Source organism: Homo sapiens, chromosome 3 (assembly GCF_000001405.40).
Source record: "Homo sapiens chromosome 3, GRCh38.p14 Primary Assembly".
NCBI lineage: Eukaryota > Metazoa > Chordata > Mammalia > Primates > Hominidae > Homo > Homo sapiens.
Genome location: NC_000003.12, coordinates 103,657,125 through 103,679,537, shown reverse-complemented (window position 1 = coordinate 103,679,537; position 22,413 = coordinate 103,657,125).

The following is a 22,413-nucleotide window of genomic DNA, read 5'->3' as shown; positions in this document are numbered from 1 at the left end:
ATGTGTGTATTTATATATATATGTATATCCTAAACACACATATATATGTGTGTGTGCATATACCTGTGTGTGTCTTTCCATATATATATATTCTTATATATATCCCTATATATATATATTCCTATGTATGTCTCCCAATATATCTATTTGCTGATATATACATCTCCCTATATATATATGTAAAATCCCAAAATATATATCCCCTATATGTATTCATATCCATATTTATATTTATATATAGCCATATATATATATTTATATATAGCCATATATATATATATATGTAGTAGGAAGCTCTTGCCAAACTACTTGAAAGCAATTCAAATATGCACGATATAAAGAAGGCTCACAAATTTCAAAATTATTGGATTGTATTTTATCCAGTTTGGTTTTTCCACTTGACTAAATTTAGTTAGCCAAAAGCAGCATGAGAAAATTACTTTTCTAAAAACAAAAATTTCCCCTACTTTTTTTTCTTTGTTAGACTGCTGGGATCTACCTCTCGTATCCATTAGAACTAGAGGGACTCAAAATCAGTGAAATGCATCTCCAAAGCTTTAGTATTTAAAAAGGCCTTTACTATTTTATGCTATCCCACCCCAAAAGGATTTCATTTGTTGTTTGCAAGTTGTAGAGGAAGAAAAGGGCATAATTTCTGAATAATAATAAAAAGTAAAATTAGAACCATTATATATGATTTTTCAATAATGTCAGTACTTCATTATAATTGAATTATCAGTCCATGACACTGCTGTCAAAATTATGGATAAGAAACCTGTTAACATATTTTATTTAGGCTGTTTCACTGGACCCATTCTCTCTGCTTGTGTGGAATGAAGATAATGGCTTCTTGTACATTAAACTCCTCAACACACATAGGTACTTAGAACAAGAGTATAATTGTGATTATTCTGATGTTGGAAAATGCAAAATTACTGAGTCAAAAAATTGTTTATTAAAATCTATATCACAAAATTGACAAGGTAATTCATATCACAATATCTTTTAATCTTAATTCCAAATAATATTTAAAACTAAGTTTTTATTTTTGGGAAATTATCTAGCACGTCCTCACCAGAGCACAGGTATAATTCACAAAGATGAGAAAAGAGAATCAATAGTTCCCTGTCTACAAGAGATTTATGAGGGAAATATTTAATTTAATTGAGTGAGCTTACTTAAGTGGGGATTTAGCCCATGAAATCATCCACTGTTTGCAAAGTGTTACAAACTTAAAAATTTATGTATATGTATTTATACATGATCTATATATGGATATAAATGTAGCCTGGTTCATACATAAACCATTAATTTGGAAACTGTTCAGTTAATTTCATTAATGAAAATGTCATTTTGAGCTAAATAAGTTAGTTTGAGCATATAGGTAGATTATATTAATCAGGTAATTACAAATTTGCTCAATCATTTTTTGCAGATACAACTTTGTATATTAATATACTGATGCAAACCCTACATTTTATTTTATCTCATAGTATCTGTTCAAAGCTGCAATACTATTTGTCTTTCCTGAAATTGCCATTTTATTGTTTTATTGCTTTCTATTCCAATGCTTCCAGATATAATTGTGACAATTTTCTTCCTTCTCATTTATATTATTCAATTCTCATGAAAAATCCTATTATTATGCTGCTTTTTCTGCCTTTTATGCTCAAAAATGAATATTGAGATATTATGTGCAGTGTTTTTCTTAGGAAAAAGAAATTTAGTGAGTACTTTTCAAAAGCTATCCCAGGACACTTACCATAAGTTAGTGAAAGAAAAAAAGGAACTTTAGGCATCATTGTTTAGCTCTTCTTAAACAATCAAACTATATCTATCTATGTGTCTATCTATCTGCCTGTCATCTATCTAGGTACATACACATATACAGTTATGTGTGTGTACATATATAACTACATATATATATATATATGTAGTTATATTGTTATGTATTTGTATTGTTGTGGTTGTTAGGACTGAAGGCACCAGTTCCTGTTAGCATTTGTGAATAAAAATATTATTATGTATGCCTTCACTAATAATTTCCCTAGAGGAAAAATGATGCATGCCAAATACATTGTCAGTTTGAACAGTTATGTTTATTACTCAAGATACACTGTGTAATGCATCCATGTTAACTGGCATCAGTGACTCCATCTTCACAAACTGCAAAAACCTGTGTAACTTGGACAAAGAGTCTTCACTCTGAAGGGCTTATATATCACTGAAAAAAAAACTTTTTCAGAGGCTCATAGAACATTGTTTTACTCTGCAATTGAAGAATTTGTGATTTAGCAAAGTGAATTATCTAAAGGCAAATGAATAGTGATAGAGCGACTTCCAGAACATAGTTGGTATACTTTAAATTTTTTAAACCATGGAATGCCTTTATATCATTAATTTATTCCTAAACGTGGATATCCAGGGTTAAGTATCATCACTTAAGGCAATTTACTGAAAAATACGGTCAGTTGCAAAAACAAACAAGCACTATAACAAAACAAGCAAGTGACAGTAGTTACGAATGACTTCTGCTTACAGTACAAATTCAAGGATCCTTATGTCATTGACTTTTTTTTAGAAGTAAAGATAAAGAAGAGACTTATTACACCTTTATAGGCAGAAGCAGAATAAAACCAGGTATCAGTAGAAGGATAGTAAAAAGATGATTTGAAAGCTCAAAATATAATCACAAGGTTTTTACCACACAGTAATCACATAAATTTAGGTGTGAAAATTGAAAATATAAAGAATATAGTATTTATCAGAAAATTACCAAAATTTTTTCCTGTTATGCACTGTATCACAGCATATACTGTATTGAATATCATTGTTAATAAATCAACAAGGAAACTAAGTTTCCTGAAATTGCATTTAATATTAATACCGTGTTCTGACTACCATAGCTGGAGCATGATGTTACAACACCATCAACCTGTGAACTCTCCAGGTAATTATCCAGCCACTTGATCAATGTAATGGCTAAACTTGGTGAAGTAGGTTGAAGGTTATGTTGTTCAATGTGAATTATCTAGTTTTGCTCTACTAGCAAAGTACTTTCCTCTTCCACTTAGCTGCAGCCTGGCTCCTAAATGGAAATATGTACAAAATAATTATTGGCTTATATTCCTATTTCTAACCAGCACAAATATAGCATCCAGGTTGCATCACTTGACCTTTTTGTACTCATATATACCTGCTTTTATATTAATGCATCATCTGGATTTAATTATAACGGGCCTAACTCCATTGTAACGAAGATGTCTGCTTCAGGTATTGAGTTGGAAGAATAAAATCTGAGGTGTCAGGACTATCTGTAAAATCCATTTTAAACCTTTCAGCTGTGTTTATATGAAAATCTGATCACTGAGATTGGACATTGAAATAAGTGACTATGATGAACTGATTTAAAGGCAAGATCAGATATTCAAATCAAACGATTTACATTTTTTAGGTCATGCAAATAAAAAAATGTTTTCTACCATAGACAAGGTAAAACATACCATTCAATTTTTTAAACATTCAAGCCCAGTGCAAAGCATTGCCTAACTGACAAGCACAGGACATAATATTCAAAAGCATCTTGGATTTCATCATAGCTTCAATTTTGACATATTGGATAATCTATATAACTTTTCTGAAATTTGGTTTTCTCCTCTGGAAAACAGAAGTGCCAATGTCTCTTGACCTTCTATTCAGGTTTCTCCAATAATCAAATATGGTAATCACATTAATTATCTATTGATACCTAACAAGTTACCACAAACTTAGTGGCTTAACAGAATACACATTATTTTGTAGATACTGTAGGTCAGGAATCTAGGCATGGCTAAGCTGGATCTTCTGCTTCAGGGTCTTTCAAAAGGCTACAATCAAAGCACAATTTAGCACTGGGGTCTAATTTGAAGATTCAGATGGGAAAGGATATGCTTCCAAGCTGATGTGGTTGTTGATGGGATTCTGGTCCTCCTGGGTTGTTGCACAGAGGACCTCAGTTCCTGACCACTTGTTGACAGGAGGCTGCCCTCAGTTTCTTGCCAGATGGGCCTCTCCATATGGCAGTTGAGCAAAGCCAGCAAGGGATAGAGTCTGTTAGCAAGACAGAAATCACAATCCCTTGTAGCCTAATCACAGAAGTAACATCCCATCACCTTTGCTATAACATATTAATTAGAAGCAATTTGCTAGGCAAGCCACAGAGGAGACTGTGATCACTGGGGCTGTCTTTCTGCCGTAGGAATCTAAGAGTACCTGGTAAGCTTTTAAGAACACAAAAATGTAAACTTTTAAGTTGCATATCTGAAAAGTAAAAAATATCTCTGCCAAAGCATGTGTTTAATGGCAAGAAAAGCTCTAAATGCCCAAATTTCTGATATTTCCCCTACTGAAGTTACTTTTTCATTAATCTGTACATTCTTAACATTCATAGCTAAGAAACACTATCACGTACTGTCTATTCCCAGCCAAATTACTAAACTCAAAGTTTTAGCCTTCTCATCTGTAATAGTTCACTGTGGATGATTATTAACTAACATAAAATTAAGTGGCCAGGCATGGTGGCTCATGCCTGTAATCCCAGCATTTTGGGAGGCCGAGGTGGGCAAATCACTTGAAGTCAGGAGTTCGAGATCAGCCTGGCCAACAGGGTGAAACCCTGTCTCTACTAAAAATACAAAAATTAGCTGGGTGTGGTGGCTGGTGCCTGTAATCTCAGCTACTCAGGAGGTTGAGTCATGGGAATTGCTTGAACCCATGAGGCAGAAGTTGCAGTGAGCAAAGATCGCACCACTGCACTGTCCAGCTTGAGTAACATAATAAGACTCTGTCTCAAAAAAAAAAGTTAAGTAATGAGTACTATTAAAAACATTTTAATTATATTTTAATAGTAGAGTTAATGTTATAAGTATAATATTGTTGCTATTGCCTTACATGTTCGTCATCATAGACTAAGATTTATAACAGCAAAAGATATTAAATCATTTATATTTCTCCACTTTTAAGCCTAAATTCTCTTTCTGCTTTCATGTTTAATTGCACTTTGACATTCGATATGAGGATGAGAAATTATCTAATACATTACATATTTTTGAAATTTGAAGAAGTATTGAGTATAAAAGTAATTTTTTTGTTATTAGTGGAGCTCATCACAGGCTAGTTTATTATTAGCCAGAACTGCCAACTGAGAGGCCTCTAGAATGAACTCTTCTGCTTCCAGCCAATCCATGCTTTTGTGTAAATCATGCTTCAACGTTGTGTCTAGCTGGACCACCACCTTTAGGAATTGAAGAACACTCTAGCCCCACCAACCTCCTTTCTTTATGAATTTTAAATGTAACTATAGCCTGTTCTACACAATTTAATATCTAAATATGTGATATCTATTTTTTCTACATTTAAAGGGCAAACTCTTTCAAGGTATGCTCATGAGTATTTTGTATTTATAATTTTCTCCACTACTTACCACAATGATAATAAAAGTAGGCAGTAAATAAGTATTTATGGACTTTATTACTAACAATCTAAATGTAGTTAGTAGTTAAAAACAAAACAAAATTTAAACTTGGATTAAACACTATAGGAATTGATGGAGTCATCTCACTGAGAAGTCCAGAAGTTGGGCAGGCTTCAGGATTTGTTAGTCCAGAAGACTCGATGAGGAAATCAAAGACTTGATTTTCCTTTTCAAGCATTTCTAGAAAGACTTCTCAAATTCATGTTGACATTAGTGTTAATTAGGTTATATCCCCAACATAGACAAATATTGTAGGTGAGAGAGAGTGTGTGTGTATGTGTGTGTGTGTGTGTGTATATATATATATATAAATACATATTTGATTAAACTTTATCCATATATGTAATATATTCTTTATTTTATTTTATTTTATTTTAATCAATTTTAATTTAAATAGCCAGGCATGGCTAGTAGCTACTATATTGCACAGTGCAGGTTTAAAGCTTATAGGCTCCATGGAAAAGAAAAAGACACTCATAAAAAACAAAGAATACTCAAGAGGTACAATGGGGAAAATAGATCATAGATAGACAAAAAATAATACTCAGTACATAAACTAAAAATAGGTTGTTTCAAACAACTTGAGAGCTAATTCATGGTATACTTGAAAACACTTAAGTTATTAACCTGTAGCCACAATATTCTGTAGCTAATGCTTTCATAAATAGATTATAACAGTACATGTCATCTCTATTTTCATGTAAAAGCCAGGATCTTACAATACTACCCAGTCAAACATAAATTAACCAAAACATGAGGTACTTAACCTCTGCCCCTATAGCTAAGTAAATCTAGCATAGTAAAATAAATAAAATGTTATTAATTATTTGGTAAATATTAAGAAAGAAAATCAGCTCCCAAAAGTCGGCTTTCTGGATTTGTCTATGTTCATCAAATGAGCCTGATAAAAGTGAAATTGTCCTTTTGCTTTGTACTATATTTCAGAAGTCCTGGGGATTATACGCTGCTTGAAGAGAAAAACTATTTTGATTTGCATGCACGTGTTCAATTTTTGTGCTGTATTTATTAGAAAAGTAACACGTATAAATTTGCCTTGGTGGCACAGTGGCTGTGAAAGGTAACTGAATTATTTGGCTTAGAACTATTAATGATTAAAAATGTCAACCTTAATGTTGCATTAATGTAATATTTAAATTTAACTCTTTAAAAAATTTAATCTTGGCATCATGTAGATTGGCAAGTTCAGGAGCAAATGGATCACTAGGAATTTTAAAAAATCTGCTTTTGACAGATTGCACAATGCTTTTCTAGTATATGTTGAATTTTCTAGTATATGTTGAATTTCTCCCTTAATCTCCAAATTGACATATATTGTACTGAAAATGGAGCTTGATTCCCACAGTTTTCTTGAAATAAGCACCATTTTAGTTCTGCACGGTACAATGACTATAAAATATGTATAAGAAGCAGATAATGACACTCAGTCTTAGTTTTGGTTTCTGTTGTAGCTGAATTGAATCATTGCCCTAGAGGCGCCTGGGTGCAGCTTCCACTACAACATTCAGCTCCTTGCACTTCAAAGGTAATTGTATCATAGAGTTTTACTCTCTAGACATCATGATCAGAAATACAAGCTGATAAATGTGAACATAACTTGCTGAGCTGAATCAACAGATACATTTTTGGGTTATATGAGATTGAAAAGATTTCAAAGTTAAGATTGCATCTGTTCCAAATAAACCCTGCCAACCAGGTTTCCACACACAAAAAGATAGTAACTAGTGCAAGATGTAATTTAGATTTGCTTACTTAGGTCCATTCTTTAAAAATTAGTTTTGAAATATCCTATAAGCCCTGGTAAAAATATTTCTAACCGTTGAGTGAAGACAAAATTATTGTAGTAGCGGTCTTCTGCATGTTATAGATTGGCAATAGGTGGTTGTTAAAAAAATGAATTTTCTTTTGTTAAGAGTTCAATCTCTGCTTCTTTATTAGAAGTCTTTAATAGTACTTAATATTATAAAATAGCTGCACACTGTACTAAGGTTTGATTATTTCCATTAGTGTGCTCATCACTATGGAGAATAAAACAAGTAAAAGCCAGGGTCCCTAACCTCTAGTTGTTTATTGTGGGCCAAGGCAATTATTTAGTTTCACAAAAACGTTCTCTGCATCCTCTTCACCCTCTTAAAATATCCTACATTTTCTCATCTTACTCAATGGGCAATGTGAAAAGAACAGTCTCAGACTGCCTCAGCTGTATTCCTAAATCCAACACCTATCAACCTTAGTAAGCATGAAAGAATTGCTATGTTAAGGTTGGCTGCAAATACTTAAAGAAGTCCCAAATGAAGAAGAACACTGACAATATAGATTATTGTGGGAATCTCAAGGCCTATAGAATTCTTAAGCAGAAGGAAAGTTAGAAGTTCATATGGCAAACAAGTGAGGAATTTAAGTTCAAAAGTAAGTTCAAATAGAGTAAATATCTTGCTCCAAGTTACCCACTGACTCAGTGGCAGCCCCAGGAATAGATATATAATCTCTGTTATATGTATATATATGTTATATGTAATCACCTGTTACCAAGCCCAACATTCACTTTACCTCAATTAGAGTGTCTCAATGTAGAATTAAATTTTAAAGCAGACCTAGAAAAAAAAGTATTTATTTTCTCATTATCATGTGCCAAAATTGATAAGAAAATGGCCTCTCACACAGATATGAATACATTTTATTAAAAGTAGCCACTTTATTGAAAATGTTATTAATTTTTATGAAATTTTTCTTCATTGAAGCCTCATCAAAATTCTTTTTTTTCCTGCTCAGTTGTGCTTTCCTATTCTTCACAGATATTCCTGAAAGTGTTCCCAATATACCTCCCATATGCAAGTCTCAAAGTCTTAGATTCTACTTTCCATAGAATCTGACCCACAAATTCCTACCATTTTATTAAAAATGGCCTCAATTAAACTGCACTAACTGCAGTCCAGCTGAGCTGCCAATAGATGTTTTTGCTGGAAGAGTTCTAGTGGGTCAGCTGAACCAAATGCCTAGTGAAGCTTGATCTGAATCCAGCTCACTGCTTTCACATCATATTTTAGCCACTTTGAGTGTAAATTCATTGAGGCAGGGGCCATGCATCACTTGTTTTATCTTGTACATCTATGCCAGATAGAGTACTGGCATATATTAGGTGCTCACTGAATATGGGTTGAGTATAGTTTAATGAATCTATATCATCACCGCAGTGATTTTAAATGAATTGTTTTGCTGTTTTCCTATTTTCTGTCCTACTCAATGTGATCAGCTGGGATGTATCATGACGTAAAATTTCAGAATTAAAAGTTTCTGGATTTTCTCTTGGTCAGGATAGATGTATAACCCACCACTTGCGGGATTAAAGATGTAAAAGCTTATCTCTTATTACGAATGAAAAATCTGCATTGAAGAGATTGCATAAATTTACAAAATTATGAAATAGCTGAAGATAAAAGGAGGATTAAACTGATATCATTTGCACTCTGATTTCTTTACTTAGATGTCATTAGCCACATTGGCAAACATGCTGCAATGCGGAACCTGGCCCAAGTTCCAGAGTGAAGCCCTCAGTAAATATGTATAAATTAATTGATTGAAAATATACTCAATGTAATTTACCTTGATGGCCTAAACATTTTTCAGAGCAAGTATACCGCAAAAATAGATTTTGCAACTTCTAATTTTTCACCTTTTGTTCTTCCTCTCTTCACTCTTTTTGTAACTACCCAATTCTCTAAAATTGTCTACCACCTTGTGAACTTTTCAAGTGTATATAGCATCCAATAATTAAACATTATTTACTTTCTCAATTGAGCTTTTTCTATTCATCACAGCTGAAGATTTTTCTATCTCCTCTCATACCATAAAACTTACTGCCTTATTCCATGTATTTAGCACCTATTATTATGCTCCTGGATTATTAAATAACATTTTCATATGTATGTGACAAAATTTCTTCACAACCCTTGAAACAATTGCCACAGATTTTTATTTAATCCCAAGGCAGGTTAAGTTATTGTTGATTATAGCTAGTGTAAGAATTTTTAAAGTATAAACCTATAATTACAGGTAATTATAATCTTTATGCAGGTGATTCGGATTATCTTAAGAATTAGAAAATAGAGGTCATTTATATCCATATTTGGATAAGTATGGTTGAGTAAAAAGTAAACTAGACTAAAGGTGAAAAAACTCAGGTTTTAATATCTAATTATATTTGTGATATTGGACATTGTTTGAGTATCTATTTATCTGAGAATACCAAGATAAAAGACAGTTGTGAGAACAAGATAAAGTTAGCTATCATAAAATGCAGTGCTATATTTGCACAGAAAAAGGAAGGGGCACCTAACTTACTATTTTTAAAATGTGAACTGGAATAAAATACCTGAACTAAGTCCTGAAGAACAGAAGAAATGAGCCAGGGGAATATTGGGAGGCAAAAACATTTTAACTAAAGATGTGTGTTATCAATGGCCTGGTGGCATGAAAAGGAAGGACGGTTCAGAGAATTGCATATATTTGCATAGCCAGGTTAGGCTAGCACACTTGGGTAAAATACCAAAGAAATCTGATTTCATTTTATAGACTATAGGGAGTAATCCAAGACTTTAAACTCTATTTAAACATTCTATTCTGAAGTCTGTTTGAGCTATTATAATATAAATACTGACATAAATGGGAAGATTTAGGGAAAATGATAATTGGAAGTAGTTCAGAGATAACTAAAGGAATATTTGGCTACAAAATCCTCTTCAAAACTAGGAAGGGAAAATCTCCTCACCAAACTGTGGGACAAGTGCCTTCATCACTCTTCTGTTTTTTTTTTTGTTTGTTTGTTTTTTGTTTTGTTTTGTTTTTTGTCACTGAAACCCCAAACTCCTGGGATCCAGGGTTCCTCCTGTGTCTGCCTTCTGAGTAGCTGGGACTCCTGAGTAGCTGGGACTACAGATGCGTGCCTCAAAGCTGGGTTAATGTTTTAAATTTTTAGCAGAGATGGGGTCTTGCTATAAACTCCTGGCCAAGGAATCCTCCTGCCTCATCCTCACAAAATCCTGGGATTTCAGGCATGGCCACCACTTCCGGCAAAATAAATTTTTAAAAGACTTTCTTTCTTGCTCTAAAAGGGAGATGCTACACAGCTCAAAATTTCTAAACATTTCAAACTCTCCAGGTCTGCTCTCTCATCTGTGGAGAGAGACATTCACCTGGGGAGTCTGGATTAGATTTCTGATTTGCAGAGCTTGTTTTATTTTTTTATACGTAGTGGGCTATATTTTACTTGTTTTATTTTTAGTCCTTGATTTGCAGAGCTTGTTTTATTCATTTACCTGTCTTGGGCTATATATGAAGAAATAAATGTGTTGATTCCAAATATAACTTATTTTGTTCTTAGTCCTTGGCAGTGATAAAACATTCACAATTGTCCACTTCTTGGAGTATGATTTGCTTTGTGATAATCTCTTCTATAGCATAGTTTCCAGGACTCTATCATAAAAAGTAAGGATATTTAGTGAAATATACAATTTAATTTTAATTTCTAATTATTTACCCTCTTGCCTGATTTCTAGACAACTTATTAGGAGCTATTCTTGTGGACACAACAATGGATAAATAATGAGGTCATACTCTAAGTTAGATCATATTGTCTCCAATACTTAATTTGTATTTCTCACAATGCCTAACATAATAATGGGCTCTTATTAATATCACTTTTTTAAATATTTTGCTGAATGTCTATTATGTTCCAGTTGATTTGATAAGGTGATTTAGCCTCTGCAACAATTCTATATGACTATAATATTCCCATTTTGCAGGAAAATCAACCATGTCTTAGAAACCACTCAAATGACATAAGTTCAACTACTAAATCAAGACTTGAAAAGAACAGTAGCTTAAATAAGAGATGGGATTATATAACATTCTCGAAATCAGAATAGACACCCAAGGGTAAGCAGGGTGGCTCCAGGGTATTGGTGATATAGGCTACTTCTTTTTCTCCACATGTCCAAAGATGACCCAGCACCATATTCACTGGGTCCAAATTTTGAAAAGCATGATAGAGGAAAGACATGAAGGGCACATGCTTTCCTGTGAAGAAAACTCGGAAGTTGCATACATCGCTCTTACTCATTCCATTGGCTAGGACTTAGCCACAGAACTATACCTAGATATGAAGGATGTTGGGAAATGTCATTTTTAGCTGTCGGGAAATGTCATTTTTAGCTGGCAGGAAATTATGTTTGATGTTAAAAAGCAGTCTGAGCTATGTATTTGTGGAGTAATCATTTAAAACTTTCCATCTTAGTCCAAGGGCTATGCCCTAAATCAGGGGCCAAAACTTATTATTGTAAATAATGTTTCTTATTATTGTAAATAATAATAAGCTGCTTATTATTGTAAATAATGTAATGGAACTCAGTCACACCTGTTCATTTATGTATTATCTATAACTACTTTCTCTATACAGAAGCATACTTGAGTAGTTACATCAGAGACTGTGTGGTCCACAAAGCCTAAGATATTTACCTTCTGGCCATTTACAGAAAACATTTGCCTAATCTCTGGGCTAACTAATCTTGTTTGGTTCCCTTTGTTTGGTTCTCACTCTCACACCTATTGAATCTCCACCTTTTATGAGTGTATGACATTGCCCTATGCTTTGGATATGGGAGATTCTGACCATTATAAGCTCCATGGCCATGCTTATGTAGTTTCCTATAGGATCTGGCCAATGGAATAAATTGGTGAGATCAAAGTGCTGGAGAAGAGGAAGGTGTAAATATTTCTTTTTTCCACAAACTGAATGCGTTGTTGCCATGGTTCTGAGTGCAGTTGTATTTGCCTACAGCAATAGTTCAGGTGAGGCACTGCCCCTTCTGTGTTTTCAGCTCACTCAAGGCTCCAGTCATACCATAATTCTCCCTTTCCTCATCAGACCTGGGAGTGTATTCTGTTCCCATTGTTGCTAAACCTTGAATGCATTCACTCGGTTTCCCTCAATAGCTTCTCTCCAAAATCATTTTCTCCTTCGCTGATACCATGATTGACAGTCATATCTCTTCCAGATGACGATTCTTTTAAGTCTTTGGGTATGATAATATGTATTTTCTTAAATAAAAGTAATAATGAAAGTAAGAAGGCTGGGCGCGATGGCTCATGCCTGTAATCCCAGCACTTTTGGAGGCCAAGGCAAGTGGATCACTTGAGGTCAGGAGTTTGAGACCAGACTGGCCAACATGGTGAGACTTCGTCTCTATTAAAAATACAAAAATTAGCTGGCCCTAGTGGTGTATGCCTGTAATACCAGCTACTCGGGAGGCTGAGGTAGGAGAATCCCTTGAATGCGGGAGGCAAAGGTTGCAATGAGCAGAGATTGTGCCACTGCACTCTAGCCTGGGTACAGAGAGAGACCCCATCTCACAAAAAAAAAAAAAAAAAAAGAAAGAAAGAAAAGAAAAGAAGTAGAGCAGAACAACTTAAAATGCTTGAAAGAAAGATATCAATCTACCGTGGATCACACTGGCATGACCCGAGGCAGGCAGATCACAAGGTCAGGAGATCGAGACCATCCTGGCTAACATGGTAAAACTCCATCTCTATTAAAAATACAAAAAATTAGCTGGGCTTGGTGGCACGTGCCTGTAGTCCTAGCTATTTGGGAGGCTGAGGCAGGAGAATTGCTTGAACTTGGGAGGCAGAGGTTGCAGTGAGCCGAGATCACACAACTGCACTCCAGCTTGGGCAACAGAGCAAGACTCCATCTCAAAAAATTAAAATAAATAAATAAATAAATAAAAAGTCGAAGTGAAGGTAAAAGTTTGGATCAGAGAGGCACAACAATGGAATCAAAAGGCAGGACAGATTTGGAGTGTGAAAAGGAATCAACCTACCATTGCCAGCTATTAAGATTCAGGAAGAAGGTCATGTGTAAAGGCATGTGGACAACCTCTAAAATCTGGGAACACCAGCAAAATAATGGGGACGTCAGTCCTACAACTGCAAAGAACTAATTATCAATGACCTAAATGAGCAAGAAAATGGATTCTTCCCTGGTGCCTCCAGAAGGAATGCAGACTGGTGAGACATATGCTAGACTTCTAACCTAAAGAACTATAAGATAATAAATAAAGTTTTAAGTCATTAACTTTATGGTAATTTGTTACCGTGGTGATACAAAACTAATACAAAATTATTCCACTTATATTGAATATTCATGAAACTTCCATTAAGAAATTTTATATAGACAAAAAAGAGCCATCAGGTTTATTTACCATTTATTCTATAATAGATGATTTGAAAACACTTTAAAATGGATGAGTATAGATAGTTTACGTTCAAATCAGTGTTAAAAGCGGGTGAGTATAGATAGGTTACATTCAAATCAAAGTGTTATTGAAATGGCCATATTTGTGATGAGCAAATATAGAACATCAGAAACATGGGATGATGGGAAAAGGTAAGAAAAACAGTGCAATCAATGGGTAATGGAGTCGGGCTGATGGAAAGCAGAAGATAATGATTAATGCAAAATCAGGACAAGTTGGAAGTAATGCAAATTGATGAGTGAAAGCAAATCAATTAAAATGGAAATTTAAAATAAGAACAAAGGAATAGAGAAAGGATAGAGGAATAAAAAAGGAAGGAAAAATGAAGGTAAAGGTAGAAGAAAGGTAAAAAGTTAGAAGATGAAAGGTAGAAGAAGCATACCTAATAAAGGAGAATCTCTTTTGTAAAAAACACCTAAAAAACCAATGCTTAATTCCAGATACCCGATATCTGATCATTTATATACAGAGTCTGGAATCCTCCCTTTGTAGATTTACTTGTTTATCAAGAATGCAAGAGGCCAGCTACTCTTGACTCCTATCCCTTCATTCTGTCTCAAATTTTGCATCCATACTCCAAATTCTCTTTGTTCATTCTTCTACAAACTATTACCTTCCACTTGCATCTTTTTTTTTTCTGGAGGATTTACATTTCAGATTTTGTAGCCTCACTTTACCATGTGACTTTTTCTTACTCACATTTTTTTTTTAATTTAGATGTTTGATTTTATCCTGACAACAATCAACTTGTGTCAGGCATGGATCCAAGATTACCAGGCAGCAAGGGCATGAAAGCGAAAACCAGAGATGAGGGCAAATTGGGGTAGCATGAGACATCAATCATTTGTGTGGAAAGATAATTGCAGGTGCTTCATTTCTTGGATTCTCACCTCTTGGAGCAATAAAACACAACAAAATGCACTGTCTGGGAAGGAGGATAAATAAGAGTGACTCATTTCAGTGGAGAAGGAAAGCAGAGTGCATTGATGATTGTAGCTATGTTATTTGGACAAGTACTAGAATTGTGAGGACATATTTTCAGTTGGAATTAAGTTCAATTTAGGTCTTATTATTTTACAAATATTTTGAGGCTGATTAGCTCTAAGTAAATAATCTAATAAGTAAAACTTATTTTTGCTATCACCTTCTGAATGGGTTAGTAATTTAGAAAACCATGCATAATTTGAGCAGATCCTGTATAAACAGCTATTTGCATATCGAGGATAGTACTTTAATAGTTGATCCATTTTATGCTCTAAATCATGATCAATACTTGGAGTTAGACTGCATTTATTTTATCTTCCTGTTTATACTGACATATTTGGGACCTCTGATTACATGTATATTTTGCACATGTAACTCAAACATGTCTGTTTAAGTCTCTTGGGAAATTATTTACTTTTTTAAAGACCTTGAAAAAAATCCTTCAGTATGAAACAGACTTGCATTTTTTCTTTTCTGTTTTTTTTTTTCTTACTCTGGTAATATATACATAAAATAAAATTTACCTTTTTAACAATCTTAGGTGTACAGTTTAGTAGCAGGAAATATATTCACATTGTTGTGCAATCAATGTTACCATTGATCTTCAGAACATTTTTATATTCCCAAACTGAAACTCTATACCCACTGCACAATAGTTACTCATACCTGCTTCACCCAGCCCCTGGCATTCACCATTCTACTTTCTTTCTCTATGAATTTCAGGTTCTCTAGGCATTTCACATACACTGAATTTTACAATATTTGTCTTTTTATGTCTGATTTGTTTCCCTTAGCAAAATTTCTTCAAGATTCAACCATGTTTTAGCATGTGTCAGAATTTCATTACTTTCAAGGTTAAATAATATTCCATTGTATGTATATAGCACATTAGGTTTATCTATTCATTTGTCAATAGACATTTGAGTTATTTTCACCTTCCAGCTGTTGTCAATAATGCTGCTATGAATGTGAATATACAAATATCTGTTCAAGTCCCTGCTTTCAATTATTTTAGTCATAGAGCCATAAGTGGACTTGCTGGATCATACAGTAATTCGGTGTTTAATTTTTGAGATAACTCTGTACTGATTTTCACCAAGACTGCACCATTTTACATTTGACCAGCAATGCACAAGGGTTTCAATTTTCCCGCAATATTGCCAACTTTTGTTATTTTCTGATGTTTTTGGTAATAGCTATCTTATTGGTTATAAAGTGGTATCTCAATGTAGTTTCAGGGTTGCATTTTTTAGGAGTACAAAGATGATCAATTGTATTTCCAATCTAAGAGTTCCCCTGTGGAATTCACAAGGTGAGGGGTGCAGGTCACCTGATGAGGTACAGAAACAAGATAACATATACTAAGAGCCAGTTGCAGCTTTGCTGGAGGTGTTTCATCTGGTGATTATTATTAGCTTTATAGCCTGCAGCTTCTTAAATACTGCTTCAACTAGTGTCCTTATTTTGTGTCAAATCCATTTGTAATGTTATATTGTGCTCAGAAGGTGAAACAGGGGTTGTTAAGTGACAGCTTCAGTTTCGTAGACGCAGAGAAGATCAATATAAATAAGCTTTAATAGTAGAGTCATCCAGGCTGGGAGAAGTGGCTCATGCCTGTAATCCTAGCACTTTGGGAGGCTGAGGTGGGTGGATCACCTGAGGTCAGGAGTTAGGGACCAGCCTAGCCAACATGGTGAAACCTCGTATCTACTAAAAATAAAAATAAAATAAAAATAAAAATTAAAAAAATTATCCGGGTGTGGTGGCACACGCCTGTAATCCCAGCTATTTGGGAGGCTGAGGCAGAAGAATCACTTGAACCCAGGCGGTGGAGGTTGCAGTGAGCTAAGATCATGCCACTTCACTGCAACCTGGGTGAAAGAATGAAACTCCATCCCAAAAATAAATAAATAAATAAATAAATAAATAAATAAATAAATAAAGTAGAGTCATCCAATGGAATAACAGCTACTAGGTCAAATAGTCAACACCCCATCACTGAAATATTCAAGAATAATTCACAGCCTATTTAAAAAGAAATTCCTGCATTGATTAGAGACTAGTCCCAATAAATGCCAAGACCTCTTTTACTTCTTGGATTTTGAACATATTAGTTATCTTACATTGAACTATCTACATTACACTCCGAAAGTTGAGCACTAACCTTAAAAAAAATAGTCTACCTCACGTCTGTGACATACATTTCAACTGCTCACTGATGTCTGGCTTTTATCTCCTTCCAGACACAAAGAATATTGTATTTTTCTCACCCTTTTGAACTGAAGTATGACTACTTCTGGTGAATGACTTATGGGTGGAAGTGATGCAAACCACTTGCATGCTGAAGTATTTAATTGCAGAAGAGAGATTCTGAAGCTATATCCTTTCTATGTCACAGTAAACATGGAAGAGTGTTTTGAGAAGGAGTTTCCTCGGCCTGAGCTCCTAAGTGATCACAGCAAATAATGCTCACGTACCCCTCTTCCAATCTCTTCTCACACACTCCAATTACATTAGATGTTTTTGTGTGTGAGTAACTTAAACAATTAAAGTAACAATCACATTGTTTTAAGCCACTATGTTTGAGGGTTATTTTAGCTTATTTTTTACCACAACAAAATCTGACTTACACCGACAAATATAGTGTATGCTTGAAGTTGGCTTCTTGTTTTTATCTCTGTGTTCCTATATTCTGATTTACTGAGAATGCTCATATATCCTACGGCATATTCTAATACCAAAATCCTAAAATCTATAATTCTAATATATAAAAATTTGCATTAGGTTATTACAGGTACAGGCAACCCACAAAAACTCCTCCAGGTAACCTCAGGCATTATATCAATTTCTGGTTTAAACTCCCAGGAAGCCTGTAACCCTATCAGAATGTTCTCATGAGAAAAGTGATATTCAAGGTAGAGTGTCAGAAAAAAGATCCTTTTACATTGATTTCTTCACATAACTTTGGGCAATTCATAAACTTCTCATAGTCTAAATTGATTAATTTGAAAACTGAATCATAATAATAATTTCTCTAAAATATCTCTTCCCAATGTGGTTGTAGGTATCAAAAGAGACAATATGTAAGCATTATAAGTATTCTAGAATGCAGAAGCACATTCTGAAGGAAGACAAAGCCTTTAAAAAATAGAATCCAGTTTACACAGATAGCTATGCAGAAAAGCAATTTAAAACTAGCTTTCAAGAGCTTAGAACTTCTCTACAACCATTCAATGCATGCGTCATCAATAGATGTAAACTGACTTCATCATATTTCAATGGTACAATGGTAGAGCATGCATAGGTCTACATTATTCCAGTAAAATAGAAACAATGCTATGTGCACAACTATATGCCTCTAGGAGACAATTCATACCAATTTACAGACTGACAAAATTGATTCAGTGGACACCATAAACCTCTACTCTCTAGTGTAGCCTGTGGAAGAATCTATTAAGTTTTAAACAATCACTTTTTAAATTATGAACAAGGTATCTTAACCTGTCTAAGGTACAGTATAATATAGTATGTGCTTGTTACTGAAGTACTGCCCAGTAGAGTCCTATGAAATCTTTAAACACTACACTCAATATAAAGAAAGATTTCATTTTCAGAACATTCAAGTTGCTGCCTGAATTTGACTCTATAGATTCCTGGCTCAAGCTGAACACTTAGTCATCCTGAGTTAGAAATGTCCCCTGCATCTGACCTCACACATTATGCCCAATGCTATAAATTGTTGTTGAGTTGTAATGTTCACTTACTCTGCTTTATTAGATACAAAATGATTATCATTGCTCAGGCTATAATTGCCTTTATCGAATTTGACCACTTGAAGACAATTGATGAGAGATGCTCTGTTGCTCGCATGCTGTAACAAATTTTAGTCAAAAAGCCCTGTCTATTCTAGATAGAGAAAAAAAATGTATGAGAAGAATGGCTTAAAGTTCACATACTCGTAGTCTAAATCACTTTCTCAGAACCACAAAAACTGATAAGTACACACATGGGTTGAAATTGTCTAGTGTTCATATGCAGTTAGGCTTAAAATATCCATTTATATGTAAAATATGATAATATATGCCCTGTGAGCATTTGTTCAATTTTTAAATGCAGTATTTTAGAATATAAGGGCAGACCTGATACATTATTTGTATTAGAAAAATAAGTACATTTTCCATAATATGATCAAATTTTCTATATGAAATTTTGAATTGTAGATTTTAGCTTAGGCAAGTAAAATATAGTATTTGTACAAATATCCAACTATCTGGAGGAAGAAAACGATATATGGTGGCTTTCTTACAAATTACTATCTTATGTAATACTCTTTGTATTGTTTTTCTAGGGCTGTTGTAACAAATCACAACAGCTTAAAAACTAAAGAAACTTGTTTTCTGACAGGTTTAGAGGGCGAAGTCTAAAATGAAGGTGTCAGAAGAGCCACACACACCCTACAAAGGCTCTAGGGGAGGCTCCTTCCTTGCCTCTTCTAGCTTCGGGTGGCTCCTTGGCTTGGGGCTGCAAAGTTCCAGTCTCTTCCTCTGTCTTTACATGGTTTGCTCCTCTGTGTGTTTCAAATTTCCCGCTGCCTTTCTCTTATAAGGCCTCATATGGACACCTGTTACCAGATTTAGTACCTACACTAAATCCAAGATAATCTTATCTTAAGATTCTGAATGTAACTACATCTGCCAAGACTCTATTCAAATAAGGAAACATTCACGAGTTTCAGGGGTTAGAAAATGAACATTTTTTGGGAGTTGGGGAATGGCACCCTCACTATACTCTTCTAAAATGTTTTAAGCATTTTTAAAATATATTTTATGTCACAGAGGTTATTCATATAAAAGCTGTAAACGTTTTTTAAAAATTAGTTATGGCAGCTTAATCTGTAAGCTGAAATAGACATTACTTGCTCTATCTATATTACAAGAATGTTATAAGAATAAAATAAAATATTAAATTTAGCAATAAGGTGAAATAAAATTATATATGTGAGAGAACCATGAAGCGTGAAAGTTTACTAAAATAACATGCATGAACAAGGAGTAGGATTATTATATCTTCATTTTGCTTGGTTTATGATAGTCCCTCTAGCTTGAAAAACAAATGATAAGACGGAAAAAGAATACTCTGTCAATGATAGCTTTCAAATATCCGTTGGACAGACAAATTAGTTGAGGTGATACATTTCATTTAAAATATGCGCTATAAAGGAGTATCACTAACTCTCAAATCTTTTAATGTACTATTGATAGATTTAGTATCTGTAAGTATTAGCTTTATTCACAGTTTGAATTAATTTTTTCAAATAGAAAAGATATGGTTTAACTCTCTTCAAAAATTTTACTTAAATTGTCATTAAATTTCAACTATTCTGTAATATTGTTAAATTAGTTATGTGATGAATAACATGTTTTGAAATATGTTCTTCAAAATATGCTGCCGTTTGTCAAATACATAGTCTGTTCTTAGGATAGATTTTCTAAGAGATTCCCTAACTGCTGTGATTTGGATAATTGATAAGTTGTTCTGTGTACTATAGCAGTTTAGTTGGAACTGCTTAATTCAATCCACAATGCTTTAAACCTCTTCATACCGGTAAATCAAGTTTACTATCAACAGACAGACAATTTCATTTATCAAAGATAACGAATTTGTAATCTACACATTTATATTTAGACAGAATATTATCTTGCTGATGATTTGACTTAAATACAATGTAATGTCTTTCTCTAGTAATTATTATCTGTTTATCAATTGACTCGTTTCTAATTATATATTTTGACTTTTTCTTCTTGTGGTTTCCTCCCTTGTCTCTTGAGGTTTGCATGCTCATATAGACTAACATCCTCAAATGCCTGCCCTTCCCCACTTATATGTCCTTGCTTTAGTTCAGCTTAATGCTTTGGGTATAGTTAATATTCTCATTTTTTTGGTAATCACCATTCCCTGCTTCTATAATAGTTAACCCGATGCTCGGTGTAGCTCAATGTAATATGCAGACAGATTTAACAGTCTGCTACTCTCTGAAAGTTCATGCCTCTCTACCTCTAACATGCTAAACTTTGAAGACTGAGAGAATTTGGCAATTCTCTAAAATATTCACAATTATATCACAGAAAAATATTCTAATTGTGAAAAGGCAGAGTAAATGGAAAAAACAGCAATAAGAATGTTTATGTGAATGTGGTTCAATTCCATATGTACAAAAACCAAACACAACTCTATAAGTTGAAAAACCATATTGTCTGACATCTCTAAATTTTTGCATGAAGATGCCTTTTGGTGGGAAAGTCCTGTCTAAAAAATAAATGTAATTAATTATAGATCATCATATTCAGCCTTTTTTGAAGGTGAAACATAAACCTACAAGATAAAATGACATGTACGACCCCAACATTTTATACCATGACTTCTAGATAGGAGAAACCATGAACAACGCCAGCAAATGAACTAATGAGCATCTCCCTTCTTCTCTTCCCTATGTATCATCAGCAATAGAAAGAGAAAAAATCAGCATAATCTTGTTGATAAATGAACACTCTTGATTCCTATCCTTGTTTCCAGATGCTCATAAACTAAAATTCTATGCTTCTAAAATTTCCAAACGTAATAGTTTATAGGATCCCGGAAATCAAGCTTTGGGGTCTTTTTTTTCTTGTTAAGTGAGATCAGGCAATGAAAATAGATACTCATACAATATAAAGCTTTTACGTTCCTGTTAGCCAGCCAATTTCAGTCAGCCAATTTTTTTCGGCCACTCTTGGCAGCTGATATGCTATTTCCGTGTTTGCTCTTCATTATGCTTCAGGAAATACGAACTCTATCAAGGCAGAACTATATGGTGGTCTCCTCAGCTAACTTCTTAGCTGAATTAAAAGTAACGTACCCGTAATTTGCACACAAGTTTTATGACTCTAACATGGTAAGCCATGTTTGAGTTTTCATTAATGATCTCCTGAGTTTAAATCTATGTTCCTTTGATGCTTACTCAAGTGATGCCAAAATCAAATAGAGCATGCATACAAGCAGACACTAGTGAAAAAGCTAGTAGATATCTCTAATGATATATTTTTAAAAATATTCTATCATATTAGAAAAACACATAAAATTGACTTCTAAAGGACATTTCCGTGAAATATGCATAATATATAAATATGAAATACTAGTAACTGAACAAGACAGATATATTTATTCTACTTATTAGAAGTCAATTTAAAACTTCAATATCATAGATAAGACTATATAATCTCCATTCATAATGAGATCATCTTGTCTACAAAGTACATTTCAATGTTTACTTTGTACTATTGTATGCTTTAAATTCATTTTTCTTCTAATTTTTTACTTAAAGAATCTGTAAACCCTTCATTTCTGATAAATTATTAATTTCTCTTTGGATTATTCTGTCTATTTTTCTTCCCTTCTTTCAATAACACTATTTTTACAGTCATTTCTATCTGGTAGGAATTCTGTTAAGGCTCTGAAGTAACTATGATGACTAAGATATGGTGCTTTCTATCAAGTAGTCAACTACCGCAGAGCTTAAAGAAGGTGACAATTATAAACATTGATTTTCTT